The 18,393-nt window shown below is 46.8% G+C and overlaps 2 protein-coding genes and 1 non-coding gene across 7 annotated transcripts in view, besides 3 other annotated features; 1 reads left to right on the forward strand and 2 right to left on the reverse strand.

Moving 5' to 3' along the window:
• CAND2 (cullin associated and neddylation dissociated 2 (putative)) overlaps nt 1-3,605 on the forward strand; it is a 38,124-nt gene extending 34,519 nt beyond the window's left edge. For all 3 annotated transcript variants that reach the window (NM_001162499.2, NM_012298.3, XM_011533504.3), the window contains 2 exons: nt 267-374; nt 2,557-3,605. In NM_001162499.2, the coding sequence (NP_001155971.1) occupies nt 267-374; nt 2,557-2,784 (336 nt within the window). In that variant the 3' untranslated portion in view covers nt 2,785-3,605. The remainder of the gene's footprint in view (nt 1-266; nt 375-2,556) is intronic.
• RPL32 (ribosomal protein L32) lies at nt 3,287-10,384 on the reverse strand. 3 transcript variants are annotated; one of them, NM_000994.4, is made up of 4 exons: nt 10,296-10,367; nt 8,944-9,044; nt 8,151-8,332; nt 3,287-5,025 (listed from the first exon to the last, which is right to left on the reverse strand). In NM_000994.4, the coding sequence occupies exons 2-4, from the start codon at nt 9,037-9,039 to the stop codon at nt 4,896-4,898; spliced, it is 408 nt and encodes a 135-aa protein (NP_000985.1). In that variant the 5' UTR covers nt 9,040-9,044; nt 10,296-10,367; the 3' UTR covers nt 3,287-4,895. The 3 variants fall into 3 exon arrangements, with proteins under 3 accessions (NP_000985.1, NP_001007074.1, NP_001007075.1); NM_001007073.1 differs by having other exon boundaries at nt 3,747-5,025; nt 8,944-9,143; nt 10,296-10,384; NM_001007074.1 differs by lacking the exon at nt 10,296-10,367 and having other exon boundaries at nt 3,747-5,025; nt 8,944-9,252.
• Nucleotides 8,727-9,665: an enhancer, noted in NCBI's record as "NANOG-H3K27ac-H3K4me1 hESC enhancer chr3:12881424-12882362 (GRCh37/hg19 assembly coordinates)". NCBI's record gives its function as "activates a minimal SCP1, AML or CMV promoter by ChIP-STARR-seq in primed H9 embryonic stem cells {active_cell/tissue: H9 hESC(primed)}" and the evidence as "EXISTENCE:reporter gene assay evidence [ECO:0000049][PMID:30033119]".
• Nucleotides 9,114-9,252, reverse strand: SNORA7A (small nucleolar RNA, H/ACA box 7A). Its single transcript, NR_002582.1, has one exon. It is a non-coding gene; the product is annotated as a small nucleolar RNA, H/ACA box 7A (small nucleolar RNA).
• Nucleotides 9,666-10,602: an enhancer, noted in NCBI's record as "NANOG-H3K27ac-H3K4me1 hESC enhancer chr3:12882363-12883299 (GRCh37/hg19 assembly coordinates)". NCBI's record gives its function as "activates a minimal SCP1, AML or CMV promoter by ChIP-STARR-seq in naive H9 embryonic stem cells {active_cell/tissue: H9 hESC(naive)}" and the evidence as "EXISTENCE:reporter gene assay evidence [ECO:0000049][PMID:30033119]".
• Nucleotides 10,696-10,945: an enhancer, noted in NCBI's record as "active region_19454". NCBI's record gives its function as "activates an Ori minimal core promoter by ATAC-STARR-seq in GM12878 lymphoblastoid cells {active_cell/tissue: GM12878}" and the evidence as "EXISTENCE:reporter gene assay evidence [ECO:0000049][PMID:35858748]".

Genomic DNA, 18,393 nt, shown 5'->3' on the forward strand with positions numbered 1-18,393 from the left:
GCCTGACTGGTGGGCATCTGAGCTTGAGAACGACTCCCTCCCTGGTGCTTTTCTGATCCTCCTTGGGTCATCCAAGTGTAGTTGGCAAAGAAAGTGTCACCATTTGAGGAAACAGACCCAGAGAGGGAGAGACTCTGGCAGGACTTCACGGTGGTCTGAACTTGGGCTTCAGGTTTCAGTTGTGGGGCCTCTGCTCTTTCCCAGGGCTGGCTGCTGCTCTTGCTCCTGCACCATTTCACTAAGAACCATCTCCTTCCTCTGGGCAGATGCTGACCTTCATCATGGTTGCCCGGCTGGCCACCCTGTGTCCTGCACCTGTCCTGCAGAGGGTGGACCGACTCATTGAGCCACTAAGGGCCACCTGCACTGCCAAGGTAAGTCCCTGGCCCAGCCCTAGCCCAGGCCCTGGAGCACCTATGGAGTCCTCGGCCAGTCGTTCAGTTACCCTTACTGAGCACTTCCTGCAGTGCAGGTGATGTTGTGAAAGTGCTTCATTTAATCATTGTCATTGCCCTATAAAGTACCTCTTATTATCATTGTATACACAGGGGAACAGAGGCTTTGAGAAGTTGTTATTGGCCAAGGCTACACAGCTAGTAAATTGCAGAGCTGGATTCAGACCCACCTCTGTCTCTCCTTCCATTCATTAAACACTTCCTGGGTGCTGAGCCTCGTGGGAGATACTAAAGATGTAACATTGAGCCTGATAGGTTCCCTACTGTCAATCTCTCACCTCCTTGTTGGGAAGCTGGGTCAGATGACTGGTCTAGGACAAAGCTGCTGCTAGACTGGAGTGCCTGAAGGGTCTGGAGGAGGGATGTGGGGTGCAAGCCCTCATGGAAAGCTGGCGTTGGGAGCAGAGCCTGGCGCACCTACGTGGTACCTAGTAAATACCTGTTGAATGAAAGAATACATTTGGGTTTTTTAAGGATGGGAATCATTACCAAAAGGAGAGCAGTGTTTTAGGTTGGCACTTAAAGAGGAGAGATACCCATAAAGTGGTGATTTTCAAAAATGAAATCTTCTGTGGATAAAACACTAAAATTGGTAGTTTATTCATAGAAACCTGCCTTGTAAGTTTACATTTTTAACATATGCTTATTATTGAGTCCATCCAAAAAAACACTTCTACAGGGCCAGGCCAGTTTTGACAGTCTCTCATTTCTGGTTTTCTCTGAGCTCTATGGCACCAAGAAAAGTCCCAGTTCTTAAGAGGGAGGTATATATGGCACTGCAGTGCCAGAACATTCTTGCAGTAAAGCCGAGGTGGCAAGAGAAGCTCTGCCCTGAGTTTCCACAAGAGCCACTCATCTGGCCACGCGGAGGATGCTGTCTGTTGGGCATTGGGATGAGCATGGGTAAATCCACACCCACAGTCCTTACCCATGACCCTGAAATCTACCAAGCTCTGACAACCAAAAGCTTTTTAGGAACCTGTTTGTCACACAACTTGACTTGAAGTGGCATGAGGCTATGATCTTTAATTCTTACCAATGTACCACTTTTATATAAGGGACTTGATCATCTGAGGATTTTGGCATCCCCTGGGATCCTGGAACCAAACTCCCATGGATACTGAGGGACACCTGTACTACTCACATTACTCATACATGTAGTAGAGTATTCATGTATTTGATTACAGGGTATTGTACAAAACCCCTCGGGAATGTTATCTGCACAGTATTACCTTTCTAAAACCCAAAATGTCTTGGATTCCAAAGCACATCTGGCTCCAGGGGTTTCAGAGAAGGGAGTGTGGACTTGTGTCGTTTAATCCTCTTGGCAACTCTTACGACGAGGCAGCTCTTACTTATAGATGGGGAAATGAGGCTCAAAGATGTAGTTACCTGAAGTCACAGCTCTTGGGGGCAGAGCCATTTGAACACAGGACTCTGCAACTCCAATGCCAAGCTGTTACCCACTGCATTGAATTCTTTAGGAAGAGCCCAGCATAATAAGGAACTTGAACTTTAGTCCATAAGCAGTGGAGGAATTACTGAGCTCCTCTGCCTAGGTAGGAGATGGTGGGGGAAGAGGAAACAGAAACTGCAGGAGGTAGTTTGGGGTGCTTACACTCCGGCTGCATCTGCAAAACTGATTGCGGGGCAGGGACTTGAGTATGGGGAGGAGGCTGCTAGAAGACCATCGCAGTGATCCATTCATTCAGTCTAGTCATATGGTGCTAAGAGCTGGTTTTAAGCACAGCAAATATAGGCTGGATCCCTGCAGTCTGTAGGAGGTAAGTATGGGAACACAGTACTTGCCACTGTCAATTAACAAAAAGCGAGCACTTCAGATTGGCTGCTCAGAGGCCCCTCAGGCTGTACTCAAGCTGATTTGAATGGCAAAGAACCTCTGTGGGGAAACTAGCCAGTGCAAAAGCCCAGAGGTGGAGTTAGGAAATAGCTGGTGAGACAGAAGCCTCAGGAGACCTCGCAGCAGGGATTTATGTTGGGGAAGATGATGGGGCAGAGAGGAAGCCAAAGACCAGTGAGGAGGCAGTGGTGTGGGCCAGGCTCAATAAAGGATGGCTGCTTCTGCTGTTTCCTACTTTAGGTCAAAGCTGGTTCTGTGAAGCAGGAGTTTGAAAAGCAAGATGAACTGAAGCGCTCTGCAATGAGGGCAGTGGCTGCCCTGCTGACCATCCCCGAGGTGGGGAAAAGCCCCATCATGGCCGACTTCTCTTCCCAAATCAGATCCAACCCTGAACTTGCTGCCCTCTTTGAAAGCATCCAGAAGGATTCCGCTTCAGCCCCCAGCACAGACTCAATGGAGCTCAGCTAGTCCCCTCAGCACCAAGGTGGGCCCTCGCTTAAGAGAAAGGAGCCCACCCAAGTCCGAGGCCTCCCCATCCCACCATCGCAGGTCTCTACTTTTGCCCTTCCACCATCTCACTGGGGGCCCTGTCGCTCCTGGTCAGGGCTTACAGTGCCTTCTCCAGGGACCCAACTCAAAGGCCCCCAGCCCAAGCTGTGAGGCTGCCAACAGTTGGGCCCCTTCCTTAACTCAGGACAGTCATCCAAAGAAATAGGGTGAGGAAGTTTTCCAGTGACTTCACACTGTACCCCTCCATAGTCTGTCTGGTTCCTTCAGAGGGTGTCTCTGCCTCACAAACTAGTAGTATTTAGAAATAGGCTGTGCTGTCAGCTGTAAAAGATCAGGAGGCAGCAGACACCACTCTGGTTTCTTCACTGCATTCAGCAATGCCTGAAGTTAGTGCTCAGGCCGGGCATCTCAAAAGAAAAGATACTTGAGTTATTCACATTTTAAAATTCAAAACGGTTCATTTTTAAGTGGCAGTGATGAATCAGAAATTTGGAAGATGATACGGGTTTCTTTTTTCCAGGGAGGAGGAATGGGTTGGGTAGGGAACTGGACAGGCTTGGACCTCATGTTTCATTTCTAATTTCAAAATACTTATTAGCAAATTGGGCAACAATGGGCATCTTCCATGCCACCACCCAGGCATAACCAGTTGGTTTGTTTCCTTCTGAGGAAGGTTTCAAATGTGTCTAGTGTTCAGTATTGAGGACAAAGAAATACAAGTGGCAGGCCCAAGTATTTTCTGTGATATCCCAGGTTAATAAAGATTAGATTCTAAGTTACTTCTTTCCTCTGCACGACTCGTCTCCAATTGTTAATCGAATCGCCTGAACCCAGGAGGCAGAAGTTGCAGGGAGCCAAGATCAAGCCACTGCACTCCAGCCGGGGTGACAGAATGAGTCTCAAAAACAAAATCCCAAAAATGACCAGTTTGCATTATAAATATTTATGACTAGGTTTTGAACAGGAGACAATCTGTAAGATTCCTGTCTAGACTAGAAGTAGAAAAGCTTTATTATACCCAGCGCAGCATTTCTGCTAAGTTGACCAGGATGGTTACAGAAAAACATCCTGTAAGCATTTCTGTCTCATAAGTACCACATCCCATATCCCTCATGACCTATATACTACAGAAGATGCCTGTAATCCCAGTACTTTGGGAGGCTGAAGCAGGATTGCTTGAGCTCAGGAGTTCGGGAGCCTAGGCAACATGGCTAGACCACCTCTACAAAAAAACTTCAAAAACTACCCAGGTTTGGAGGTGTGCATCTGTAGTCCCAGCTACTTGGAAGGCTGAGGTGGGAAGATCACCTGAGCCTGGGGAGGTCAAGGCTGTAGTCAGTGTGCCACTGCACTCCCAGCCTGGGTGAGAGCAAGACCCCGTCTCCAAAAAAAATCAGGACCACGTGTCACTAAATTCTGAGTACCAGTCAAGAGGCTCAATTGTCACCAGTTAGGTCCCCGCCTTGGCAAACTGCTGTAACATTATACCTGAAGCAGCAGCTGGTGGGAGGGTTATAGGAGACTGAAAGTGCTTTTCCAGTTAACCGTGGTGGATTACCTGGAAGAGCAATTTGTACATCATCCTGTTCTTTTTGGACAGAAGTTACAGGATGCAATTTAGGCATCCCGTAAGAATCTGTGTAAGAAATTCATCTGGATATTTCCATGCATATTTTCTCAATTCTCACAAGCATCACATGGAATAACTTGTCACCTAACTTTACAAAAGCAAGGCTAAGAATGACTACTTGTGGCTTGGGAGCCACAAGCTTCTTCAAGTGTCTCAGAACCTACCTGGTGTGAGGGCCAAGTCTGTACCCCTCATACCCAGCCTCAACTGGAGATGACTAAGGCTAGTCTGTGCACTTGAGGCCACATTCCCCTGTTCAAGGACTGAGTGTCCTTTACAAATCCCCTCCAAATGGGAGATTCCAAAGGGGCTTAAGCAAAAGAACAATCTCTGTGGCAAACTAAGTTGGCCAAGAAGCTGAAGACTTAAAATCAAGGAAGGAAGATGCCAGATGGCAGTTTTTACATTTATTTAAACAGAAAACGTGCACATGAGCTGCCTACTCATTTTCTTCACTGCGCAGCCTGGCATTGGGGTTGGTGACTCTGATGGCCAGTTGGGCAGCTCTTTCCACGATGGCTTTGCGGTTCTTGGAGGAAACATTGTGAGCGATCTCGGCACAGTAAGATCTGCAAGAGAATCAAGTAGGTAAGGAGCAAGACAGCCCTCAACACACTTGGAAAATTCCATTGGAGAGGCAATGAGTCCCAGCACCAAGCTAAGAGAGGGCTGCTTGGTAAGTGGCTGTGGAATGACACCTACATGCCCCCAAATCCTGACTATGGTTCCCTGGTGGTGACAAGAATGCTTTCATTAAAAAGTACCCTCATTGTCCCCTCTCATCCTTATAGCAGCCTTGTAATCCAGGCATTACCTCCATTTTACAGATAAAGAAACCAAGGCCCACAGCAAGCAATGGACAGGGATCCGGGGCGAACCCAGGCCCACACTCCAGGTTCAAAGGTTCTCCCCCAGTCACAGGGTGCTTGACCTTGCCCATGAAGGTTCAGAACTCTTTGCAAAATGGTCAAGAGCAGAACCCAAGAGTCTGAATGGAGCCAAGAGCACCTGGTTTGACTGCTGAGGATACAAAGCAAGTTGAGAAGCAACAATGCTTAAAGTCACCCAGTCATAGCCATGCCTATTACCTGAGGACTTCAGATCCAGTTCTAACTCATTCCTCACAACTTTTTAAGAGGCAGCTACACTGTGCCCCATTTGATAACCAATAGGCCTAACAAGCACACTTCAGTAAGGAGGTGATTTATGAAGCCACCCACAGTGGTTAAGAACAGACATTCCACCCCTAAAGCATTTTCAGCAAAGAGAGAAGCAGCAGGACTGTGAGGAGTGATTGAGGCAGTGGACACACAGCTCTTTTCAAGAACCCTGCCTTAACAGCAAGACAGCAAATCCAGACAATTCTTGTTTTATATGAGTCCACTCAAATTCAAAGCAATTGTATTTTTAAATGTTTCTACGTTTTAAAGACTTAGGTTATATTACACTTCTCATCTGTCTTTACTTTTCAAAAAACCCTCCTGTCCTTGTCCATCTATATATTTGATAATCACAATCAGAGTGTACCCACCATTTTAAATGTGTCCCCCCTGGCTTGGGCATTTTCCACACTACAACACTCGAATCATTTTGAGTGGACCCACAACATTTTATCCAGCACTCTACAATTCTCTCATTATATTTTCAGTTGTTTCCAGTGGGTTATTGCTGCAATGACTAGCTTTAGTTTGCCTGCTTTTCCATTCCTTAAGGACAAATGCCCAGAAATGGAACTTAGAGATCAAACGTCAAAGAGTATTTCTATGGATCTTAAAGACTGCCAAGCTGCGCTTACAGAGCATATGCCAACCAGCCAACATGTGCACTGCAACTGAGTAATCATGTTGGCCATACAACAGGTATTGCCTGTTACAGTTCAACTCATACAGCCAACTGTGGTTTCAGTATCCACCATTAATTCCTTCGCCCATCTTTTCTAACAGAAATTTTCAGCATTTCAACGCCTGGTTAAATTTCCAATCTTGGAAGGTAACCACGTTAGAATACTGGTCTTGTTCATTTTTATTACTTGTATCTACAACCACTGTAGGTGAAAGTTATCTTTGTAAACGTAAACACAAACATCCTAGTTAGTCACACACACTCCATGTTCTTTCTAGTTTACTTAGGAAAATTCAGCTTTTTGGCTTTCATTTACCAGTAAGTGAAGAAAATAAACTGTCACTTCCCATGAGAATTTTTCATTCCACTGCCCTAGTTTTAATCTAAGCAGGTCACTGAGTCTTTTATACACAAAGCTCACCAAGTGTCTAACTTACTCAAAACACCTAGAACTAGCTGGGTGTGGTGGAGTGTGCCTGTGGTCCTAGCTACCAGGAAGGCTGAGATAGGAAGACAGCTTGAGCCCACCTTGAGTTTGGGGCTGCGGTGTGCCATGATCACAGCTGTGAACAGCCACTGCACTGTAGCCAGGGCAACACAGAGCCTGTCTATCTCTAAAATCAAACCAGGCCAGGCATAGTAGCTCATGCCTGTAATCCCAGCATTTTGGGAGGCTAAGGCAGGCAGACCGCTTAAGGTCATGAGTTCAAAACCAGCCTGGCCAACATGGTGAAACCTCATCTGTACTAAAAATACAAAAATTAGCCAGGAATGGTGGTGCACGCCTGTAATCCCAGCTCTTGGGAGGGTGAGGCAGAAGAAACGCCTGAAACTGGGCGGTGGAGGTTGCAGTGAGCCGAAGTCATGCCACTGCACTCCAGCCCCGGCAAGAGAGCAAGACTTCATCTTAAAAAACAAAAACCAATAAAACCCACCTGGAACCAATGCCCTGCAAACCCTCCATGTGCTTTCACCTCTACACCTTTGTGTAAGCACTCTCTGCCTGCCAAGTTTCCTCCTGTTCTCCATCTAATGCAAACTTTCCAGAGCCCTCCTGCCCCTGAAGATACCCCTTACCACAGCACAGACTTAAGAGCCCCTTAAGGTCTGAGGTCCATGTTTGACCTTCTCCCGCTTGTAAGCCAAAAATAAAATTCAAAGGCCCCCAGCAACCATCTGAATGCACTCCCTCCTTGAATAGGGCACTCTTGGTTTCCACAACCTCTTACTGTAGCCAAGACATTCCTTTCTAGTGATAACCAATTCTCGACGAGAAACAGAAAATCTATCCAAAACCTCGAAGTGCCGCCTTTCTGGACCAAACCAATGTATGCCTTATGTGTATTTGATTGATGTCTCATGTCTCCCTAAAATATGTAAAACCAAGCTGCTCCCCGCCCACCTTGGACACATATTCTTAGGGTCTCCCAAGGGCTGTGTCACGGGCCATGGTCAACTCATATTTGGCTCAGAATAAATCTCTTCGAATATTTCAGAGTTCAACTCTTTTGCTTGACACCTTCATAAAGAAAGCAACATTTTGGAAACAACAGCCAAAGGATATTGTAGTAGTGGAAAGTGGCTATTATTGCAGTGTTCACAAAGCAGTCTTTTCCTGGTCTTGGGTCTCTACACTTAGAAGACCAAGTCACCTCCTTCAGCAAAGGAAACACCTTGAATTCCCCAACAAGCATTCTCTAAAATCCTGCAAGGAACAACTTCTGATTCCCTCAGAGAATGTACAACACCCCCCGCCAAAATGCATCCCAAGAGTTTGTAGAGTTCCTGCCAGAAGTGCTCACACAGATGCAAACTTCTGATCACTGAAAACTAGAGGTGGGACCCAACTCACTTGTTGCACATCAGCAGCACTTCCAGCTCCTTGACGTTGTGGACCAGGAACTTCCGGAAGCCACTGGGCAGCATGTGCTTTGTTTTTTTGTTGCTTCCATAACCAATGTTGGGCATCAAGATCTGGCCCTTGAATCTTCTACGAACCCTGTTGTCAATGCCTCTGGGTTTCCGCCAGTTACGCTGAAGGAAATAATACACAGGTGGGTTAGCGTCTGTGCAGAGTGCGAACTCTTCCTTTTGGGGAGGGAAAAAAAGGACCAAATGAAAAGGAAGTATGCCACACAGTAGTTGCCTTTGGTAACAGGACTTCACTATTTCCTTACTTTTTTGGTGGGAAAAACCAGGAGCTCGTGGCTTTAGCCACTAGGGATGAAGGCACCCCCACCATTGCCACTCCCAAGCAATGGAGGAGGCACCAATGGGATGCGAGGGGACTGTGTAGATACTGAGATGGCAAGCACAGCTGCAGACACTGCTCTCAGCACCTGAGTTTTCTTGTCTATAAAATAGGGATCCTGCTGTCACAAGGCAACCCAAAATACAGGACACAAATGCAAAGCCCTCTGAACACATCAAAACGGCCAAATGTCCCTTTTCATTAAAGTTTCGCTTCACACATCAAGAGACATAAGTACCAGCACTAGGGCACACTGGGGGAGACCTGTATTTCTACAGAAAGCTCTTCCACAAGCCAGTTCATCGGTCAAAGATAATCCTGACTAGGTGATGTCAGAAACTGTTGGAAACTCTTTTCTTCACCCCACACCCATTTCCATCCCAGGACCACATACCTTAATTTTGACATATCGGTCTGACTGGTGCCGGATGAACTTCTTGGTTCTCTTTTTGACGATCTTGGGCTTCACAAGGGGTCTGAGGGCGGCCATGATGCCTTTTGGGGAAGAAGCGGCCCCAGGTGAGGAAGAATCCTGGAAGGAGGCTTTCCTGCCCAGGGACTGAACACTGTCGCAGAGTGTCTTCCAATCGCCAGCTACGGAGCAAGCTGGGAATGGAATGGGTGCCTCTGCCAGGCTTGCTTTCCCTCCCTTTCCGAAGCTGGCAGAATACTAGGCACTCTCCAGATGCGATCCCAGGAGGTCAAGGGTCACCTCACCCACTCAGAGCCCAAAGAATGCCAACAGCTGAGCAAATCAAAACTGACCCCAAGACACTCTCAATTTGCAAGGGGCAGCAAATCCCACCCCACCAGTGTCCGAACCCCCAGATGGTCCTTCCGGTAGTACTGGCCTTGACCATCTACTTGAACCTGAGTCTTTTCCTCACCTGTAAAATGAAGATGACACTGCGCGCTGAATGCCTGCAGTGCCTGTCACAGGGTAAATGTTCAATAAAACCTTCTAATTCCCTAGGGAGCTGCTGCGCTACCACACCCTCAACACACACAAAACCACCATATACCTCTGAAGATGCCTCAAACCTGGAGATCTTCCAGTATCAACTCACACCTTCCTCAGTGTGGTCTTCCGAGCCATTGATTTCCTACAGCAGCACCCCTTCTGCTCTCTTCGCAGCCATCAACTGGCCCAGAGTGGGTACTCAATGAACCACGTATTCAAAACGACTCTGCCTTCTGGCCCATGATATCCTCGAAGGCAAGGTGGGGGCAGTTGCATCTTCATATTCCCAGAGATACTACCAGAATTTCTGCCTGCAGCTGGACCAGCCGACCTACAGCTCGTCTTTCCTTGGCGGTCCCGCAGCAGCAGCCCTCGGGCCAGAGACTGCAGCGGAAGAAGCCGGCCATGGCATGAACGAATACACGTGGGCCGACATTGGTGAGCGCTGGGATCCACAGATCCCAGCTGAAAGCTGTCAAGCTGGGCCACCCCTGGTCGTCCCACGGCCCCCAGGAGACCCCGAAGTCTGGCCTCAACTAGCACCCTCCACCGCCAAGGAACAAACAAGCAGCCCGCAGCTCTGAATACAGGCGGAGGGCAGGAGGCTCTGGGACGCAAAGCCCTATCAACTCGGCGGCTTCGTTCTGTTCCTGTACACGCTCCAGTAAGCTGACAATAACAATACCCACAGACACTACCGCGCTGAAGGGGAGGCCTCCGCACCACTGGGCGACGGGGCCAGATGAATCCCGCAGGAATGCGGATTGCCACGGATTAACACTTACCGAGAAGGAGATGGCTGCCACCTCCGTAGGCAGCGCCGAGGAAGAGAGAAGGGACGGTGGCGCGCAAGGGCTGATGGGTCGTAACCCCTGGGTCCTAGCAGGGAAAAAGGCAAGCACTTCCGGCTCCGGCTCTTTTAAATAAAATAAAGACACGTCAAAAAATAATGCCGCAAAAATTCTGAGTATACATGTTTTAATAGACAATAATAACTAGGAATAGGACTGAGAAATGTATTCTACCTATCCTTGGGACTACGTAGAAATTTGGAATTCTTTCTGAGCTAATAAGACCTGGTGGAGGGAGGAATTTACTTCCGCCAGAAGTCGAAGCCAATCCGCTTTTGGGCTATTTCCGCCCGCGTTTCTTCTACTCCGAAGTGCGCCTCTTAGTGGTCAGAAGAGAACAAGACAGAGACTTCCTAATAATTTCATCACCGAATTTAGACAGTAAATAGTAACGAAAACAGCTAACATGCGATGGAGTTCACTATGCCTACCACAATTCTATAACGTACCCCTATTATTGTCTCCATTTTGCATATGTGGAAGATGAAATTTGGAGACTTGACTCCAAACTCCACGCTTCTAACCACTGGGCGAAACTGCCTAGTTTTTCTTTGTTCATTTTTTAGAAATGGGGTCTCACTCTGTTGCCCAGGCTGGTCTTGAACTCCTGGGCTCAAACGATTCTCTCGCCTCAGCCTCCTGAGTAGCTGGGATTACGGGCACGAGCTACTGCCTAGATGTTTTTTGTTTTGTTTTGTTTTTTGGTTTTTGGTTTTTTTTAGACAGGGCCTCCCTCTGTCACCTAGGCTGGAATGCAAAGGTGCCATCTCACGGCTCACGGCAGCCCCTGCCTCCCAGACTGCCTAGTTTTTAAAGATGCTCTTGATTTGTTTTGCTTAGCTTTTGTATTTAAGATTATTGTGCAAATTGGCTGAGCACTATGGTTCACACCTATAATTCCAATACTTTGGGAGTCTGAGGTGGGAGATTTGCTTGAGCCCAGGAGTTCAAGACCGGCCTAGGCAACATAGTAAGACCCTGTCTCTACAAAAAATAAAATAATTAGCTGGGGCTGGTGGCGCATGCCTGTAGTCCCAGTTACTCGAGAGGCTGAGCTGGGATGATCACGTGAGCCCAGCAGTTCTAGACTGCAGTTAGCTGTGATAATGCCACTGCACTCCAGCCTGAGTGACAGAGCAAGACTCTGTCTCAACAACAACAAACCTATAAAGACAAATAACCCAATTGAAAAATGGGTAAAGAATCCAAATAGACATTTCTCTGTGGCCAATGAACACATGAAATGATCCACATCATTAGCCATCAGGGAAATACAAACTGGAACTGCAGTGAGATACCATTTCACACTCACTAGGACAGAGAAATGGGAATGTCCGTACAGTGCTAGTGCAAATATGAAATGGTGCAGTCACTTTGGAAAAGAATAGCATTTCCTCAAAATGTTAAACATAAAGTTACTGTAAGACCCAGCGACTGGGCGCGGTGGCTCATGCCTGTAATCCCAGCACTTTGGGAAGCTGAGGTGGGCAGATCACCTGTGGTCAGGAGTTCGAGTCCATCCTGGCCAACATGGTGAAACCCCATCTCTACTAAAGTTACAAAAAATTAGCTGGGTGTGGTGGCACATGCCTGTAGTTCCAGCTACTAGGGAGGCTGAGGCACGAGAATCACTTGAACTCAGGAGGTGGAGGTTGCAGTAAGTGGAGATCGCGCCATTGCACTCCAGCCTGGGCAACAAGAGCGAAACTTTGTCTCAAAATAATAATAATACATGAATTGGTGTCCCACAAAATGAAGATACTTTTTTTCTGATAAGAATATACACATAAGATTTATGTCAACTCAGTAATCATTCAGGAGGTTTTACTTCCTGAGATTTTTTTTAATGAAAACATTTTCTCAAGTTAGATTCCTAGGGTGTCTAAGTCAATGCCAAGAAAAGTTTGGAAAGACTTTGAGAGAAGGCCAGCCCAGCATCTTTCTTGTAAGCGGAGGTAGATTTGGTTTCACAGAGGCCTACTGGAAGTGATAAAAGGGAAGAATTCTTTAGGAATCACTTTAGTGTTTACTGTACATGCTAGGGACATAAATTTTTTTTAAAAAAAGGAATCACTGTGGTGTAAAATACTATTAAAATTTCTCTAAAAGTCTAGAGCTGGGCTGGATATGGTGGCTCACACCTGTAATCCCAGCACTCTGGGAGGCCAAGGCAGGAGGATTGCTTGAGGCCAGGCATTCAAGAGCAGCCTGGAAAACAAACCAAGACCTCATTTATATATTAAAAAAAAAATAGCTGGATTTGGTGGCACTCACTTTGCAGTCCCAGTTACTTGGGAGGCAAGGGCAGGAGGATTGCTTGAGGCCAGGCATTCAAGAGCAGCCTGGAAAACAAACCAAGACCTCATTTATATATTAAAAAAAAAAAATAGCTGGATTTGGTGGCACTCACTTTGCAGTCCCAGTTACTTGGGAGGCAAGGGCAGGAGGATTGCTTGAGCCAGGAATTGGAGGCTTCAGTGAGCTATGATGGCACCACTGCACTCTAGCTTGAGTAAATTTCACCTGCTGCAGACCTGCCTGTGTCTATGCGCTCCTAAAGAGCGGGAAGGAAACCATCAGTTTTGTCATCTGAAAGGGGAAAAGAGACGGGCAAACCTGGCCTTCTGCTCACTTCACAGGAATGCCGGAAGAGCCAGCAGAACGGGAAGTGCTTGGATCTTTGGGGGCATGGGCGTTTACGTATCATTCAGCCTTGTGGCCTGAGGAAGCATGTCACCAGAGAAGACAGCTCGAAGACTCCATGCCCAGGGCCTGGCTGGCTTTCTGCTGGGCTTGCACCATTCTTTGCCTCTTTAGGGCTTTGTAGGTGGTCAGGGCTGGTTTTCTGGAATGAAGTTCCCCCCAAAGCTGGAGCCCCTCCTGACTGGTTATCTTGGCCACTGCAGGGTTTCCCAATGTTACAGGCAGATTCGGTCCCCTTACTAGGCTCCTCCTTGTTCTCGGCAGCAAAATCGATAGTGCGAGGGACCTGGAGTAGGGAGCTGCCTCAGTCATTAGAAAGGGTTACCTGGTGATATGGTTTGGCTGTGTCCCCACCTAAATCTCATTATGAATTGTAATAAACCCCAAGTGTCAAGGGCAGGGCCAGGTGGAGATAATCCAATCATGGGGGCAGTTTTCCCCATACTGTTCTCTTGGTAGTAAATAAGTCTCACAACATCTGATGGTTTTATAAAGGGGAGTTCCTCTGCGCACACTCTTCTTGCCTGCTGCTGTGTAAGACCTGACTTTGCTCCTCCTTTGCCTTCCGCCATGATTATGAATTGTAAACAGCCATATGGAACTGTGAGTCAATAGCCTCTTTCCTTTATAAATTATCCCGTCTCGGGTATGTCTTTATTAGCATTATGAGAACAGACTAATACAGTGAATTGGTACCTGGAGTGAGGGGCTGCTGTAAAGATACCTGAAAATGTAGAAGCGACTTTGGAACTGAGTAACAGGCAGAGGTTACTGGTGGAAGGTGTCCAGGTTCTTGGCGTCTTGAACAAAGAATTGGACAAGATGCACAAACAAAGCAAGGAAAGCAAAAGCAGAGATTTATTAAAAACAAAGGTACACTCCACAGTGTTGGAAGCAGGCCTGAGCATCAGGGCTCAAGAGTCCCCATTACAGAGTTTTCTGGGGTTTCAATACTCTAGAGGTTTCTCTTTGGTTACTTGGTGTACCTCTGTGTAAATGAGAATGGAGTGAAGTTGCAGTCATTTACTCAGAATGCATCCTATATAAATGAAGATGATGTTACTTGGCGTGTGTGATCTGTGTGAATACTGAGGATGAATGTGAAGTTACAAAGTGTAAATGGAGAGGATGTTACTTGGAGTGTGTGGGCTACGGAAATGGAGAAGATGAATGTTAAGTTACAAAGTGTAAATGGTGTAAATGGAGAGGATGAAGTGAAGTTACAAAGCCATTCACATTTCTGTCATTGCTGAAGTGCTTCCATTTGATTTAGTTCTAAGAAGTCAGCATGGATCAGCCTTATGTTCCCTGCCTCCAGGCCCTATTCTCCTGCCCCATTGGACAGTTTGAAGGGCTCAGAAGAAGATAGAAAAAAGTGGGAAAGTTTGGAACTTCCTAGAGACTTGGAGGGCTCAGAAGACAGGAAGATGTGGGCAAGTTTGGAACTTCCTAGAGACTTGCTGAATGGCTTTAACGAAAATGTTGATAGTGATATGGACAATAAAGTCCAGGCTGAGGTGGTCTAGATGGAGATGAGGAACTTATTGGGAACCAGGGTAAACGTCACTCTTGCTATGCAAAGAGAATATTGGCATTTTGCCCCTGCCCTAGAGATCTGTGGAACTTTGAATTTGAGATGATTTAGGTTATCTAGGGGAAGAAATTTTTAAGCAGCAAAGTGTTCAAGGGGAACAACAGCATAAAAATTTGGAAAATTTGCAGCCTGATGATGCAATAGAAAAAATACCCATTTTCTGGGGAGAAATTCAAGCTGGCTGCAGAAATTTGCATAAGTAAGGAGGAGGCAAATGTTAATCACCAAGACAATGGAGAAAATGTCTCCAGGACATGTCAGAGACCTTCAAGGCAACCCCTCCCATTACAGTCCTAGAGGCCTAGCAGGAAAAAATGGTTTTGTGGGCTAGGCCCAGGGCCTCCCTGCAGTGTGCAGCCTAGGGACTTGGTGCACTGCATCCCAGCTGCTCCAGTGGCTAAAAGGGGCCAAGGTACAGCTTGGGCTATGGCTTCAGAGGGTGCAAGCACCAAACCTTGGCAGCTTCCACGTGGTGTTGAGCCTGTGGTTACACAGTAGTCAAGAATTGAGGTTGGAAACCTCCACCTAGATTTCAGAGGATGTATGGAAATGCCTGGATGTCCAGGCAGAGTTGTGCTGTAGGGGCAGAGCCCTCATGGAGAACCTCTGCTAGGTCAGTGCAGAAGGGAAATGTGGGGTTAGAGCCCCACACAGAGTTCCCACTGTGGAACTGCCTAGTAGAGCTCTGAGAAAAGGGCCACTGTCCTCCAGACCCTAGAATGGTAGATCCACTGATAGCTTGCACTGTGCACCTGGAAAAGCCACAGATATTCAATGCCAGCCTGTGAAAGCAGGCAGGATGGGGTGGGGGTGGGGGAGCTGTACTGGAGCAAAGCTGCCCAAGGCTGTGGGAGCATAGCCACAGGAGCATAGCTGTGGCTACACAGCTGTGAGCATAGCTGCCCAAGGCTGTAGGAATCCAGCTCTTGCATCAGCATGACCTTAGATATGAGACATGGAGTCAAAGGAGATCATTTTGGAGCTTTAAGATTTGGCTGTCCCACGGATTTCAGACTTGCATGGGACCTGTTGTCCTTTTATTTTGGACAATTTCTGACACTTGGAACAGGTGTATTTATCCAATGCCTGTACCCCACTTTATCTAGGAAGTAACTAACTTGCTTTTGATTTTGCAGGCCCATAGGCGGAAGGGACTTACCTTGTCTCAGATGAGACTTTGGACTGTGGACTTTTGAGTTAATGCTGAAACGAGTTAAGACTTTAGGGGACTGTTGCGAAGGCATGATTGGTTTTGAAATGTGAGGAAAGGAGATTTCGGAGGGGCCAGGGGTGGAATGATATGGTTTGGCTGTGTCTCCACTCAAATATCACCTTGAATTATAATAATCCCTATGTGTCAAGGGTGGGGCCAGGTGGAGGTAATTGAATCATGGGGGTGATTTTCCCCATACTGTTCTCGTGGTGGTGAATAAGTCTCACGAGTTCTGATGCTTTTATAAATGGGAGTTCCCCTGCAAAAACTCTCTTGCCTGCCACCATGTAAGATGTGACTTTACTCCTCATTTGCCTTCCACCATGATTGTGAGGCCTCCCCAGCCATGTGGCACTCTCAGTCAATTAAACCTTTATTCATTCTAAGTTACCCAGTCTCAGGTATGTTTTTATTAGCAGTGTGAGAACAGACTAATACACTTGGCCACCACTAGCCCAGAGGTGACACCCTGTCAATCTCAACTCACTCAGTCCCTGAGGAAGTAGAATGGTTCAGGGGAGAGGGCACGGCCTTCAGGCTGACCTGGGCTTGGGTCCTGCCCGCATCCCTTACTGTGTGATCTTAAGCAAGTTAGTGAGCCTCTCTGAACCTTGATTTCTTTTCTCTAAAATGAAATTAGTAATTGCCCCTCACAGAATTGCTACAGGAATAAACAAGATACAATAGTGTCTAGCTCAGTGCTGGGCACAAAACAGGGCCCAAAATGTTACTTCTTCTCTCCCCAGCCTCAACTTCCACCTATGGTGGGGGTGGGTAGGCGGCCCCAAATGTGAATCTGTCTGAGCCTAGAACCATACAAGTGTGGAAGGGTGTGTGCTCCTCCCTGTCCCCACTGCTGGCTCTGTAGCGGGCTAGGGGAGGTGATTTTCAGCCCTGCCAGGAGACATCAGCATTCCCAGCTGTGACATTGCCTGCTGGCTTTTCCTCTTCCCACGGCCCTCCCCCTACACATAAAACAGCTATATTGCTTTTTTTCTCATTATAAAAGCAATCCATGCTCATTATAAAAGAGTCAGACATTATAAAATATCCTAGGTAGAAAGCTGTGAGCATCTGCTGGTCCCCAGGGCTCCAGGGCTGAGCAGAAAACTGAGGTACCCGGGGTGCCTCCCAGGAAAACTCTATTTTCACAATGTGTGAACTGTAAATGCAAATACAAGATATTCTTTTCAAATCTTACAAATAACTCACTTTTTTTTTTTCTTATAAAACACAATAGATGGGCTGGGTGCGGTGGCTCATGCCTGTAATCCCAGCACTTTGGGAGGCCGAGACGGGTGGATCAACTGAAGTCAGGAGTTTGAGACCAGCCTGACCAACGTGGAGAAACCCCGTCTCTACTGAAAACACAAAATTAGCCAGGCGTGGTGGTGCATGCCTGTGATCCCAGTTACTCAGGAGGCTGAGGCAAGAGAATCACTTGAACCCTGGAGGCAGAGGTTTCAGTGAGCCGAGATCGCGCCACTGCACTCTAACCTGGGCTACAATAGTGAAACTCCATCTCAAAAAAAAAAAAAAAAAAGCCCCACAATAGATGTTCATGACAAAACAAATCCAGGCAAACAAAAAAGATTTTCTAATTATGCAATTCCACCTACCCAGAAACGCTGTTAATCGTTTGGAGCTTATTCTTGTAAACGTTCTTCTGTGTAGAGAGATGTATATTTCTTCTGTAATAGAAGTGGAATCCCACTTTGCTGACTCTCCACTTTCTATATAGGGATTCATATTTCAGGAGAACATTTTTCAAAAGTAATACTTGCTTACTGAAAAATTCCAACAATACGCAGGTGCATGGAGAGGCTTGCCTCTGTTCATTTCTCTTGCCTCTGTTCATTTCTTTGTGGTCCCCTTTCCTCCTTTTTCCTCCATCCCACTGTAAGCAATTTAGTGGGATTCAGTCTTTTTTATTTATTTATTTATTTATTTATTTATTTTTATTTTTATTTTTTTTTAGTTTATTTTTATTGATCATTCTTGGGTGTTTCTCGCAGAGGGGGATTTGGCAGGGTCATAGGACAATAGTGGAGGGAAGGTCAGCAGATAAACAAGTGAACAAAGGTCTCTGGTTTTCCTAGGCAGAGGACCCTGCAGCCTTCCGCAGTGTTTGTGTCCCTGGGTACTTGAGATTAGGGAGTGGTGATGATTCTTAACAAGCATGCTGCCTTCAAGCATCTGTTTAACAAAGCACATCTTGCACCGCCCTTAATCCATTTAACCCTGAGTGGACACAGCACATGTTTCAGAGAGCACAGGGTTGGGGGTAAGGTCTCAGATCAACAGGATGAGAATTTTTCTTAGTACAGAACAAAATGAAAAGTCTCCCATGTCTACTTCTTTCTACACAGACACGGCAACCATCCGATTTCTCAATCTTTTCCCCACCTTTCCCTGCTTTCTATTCCACAAAACCGCCATTGTCATCATGGCCCGTTCTCAATGAGCTGTTGGGTACACCTCCCAGACGGGGTGGTGGCCGGGCAGAGGGGCTCCTCACTTCC

This window comes from Homo sapiens, chromosome 3, assembly GCF_000001405.40.
Source record: "Homo sapiens chromosome 3, GRCh38.p14 Primary Assembly".
Taxonomy (NCBI): Eukaryota; Metazoa; Chordata; class Mammalia; order Primates; family Hominidae; genus Homo; species Homo sapiens.

Bases quoted from the DNA above. Each gene is read 5' to 3' on its own strand.
- RPL32 (NM_000994.4), bottom strand. From the start codon at position 9,039: ATGGCCGCCCTCAGACCCCTTGTGAAGCCCAAGATCGTCAAAAAGAGA. The intron at 8,333-8,943 runs GTATGTGGTCCT...TATTTCCTTCAG, and splicing joins ACCGATATGTCAAAATTAAG to CGTAACTGGCGGAAACCCAG. The intron at 5,026-8,150 runs GTGAGTTGGGTC...ATTCTCTTGCAG, and splicing joins GTGCTGCTGATGTGCAACAA to ATCTTACTGTGCCGAGATCG.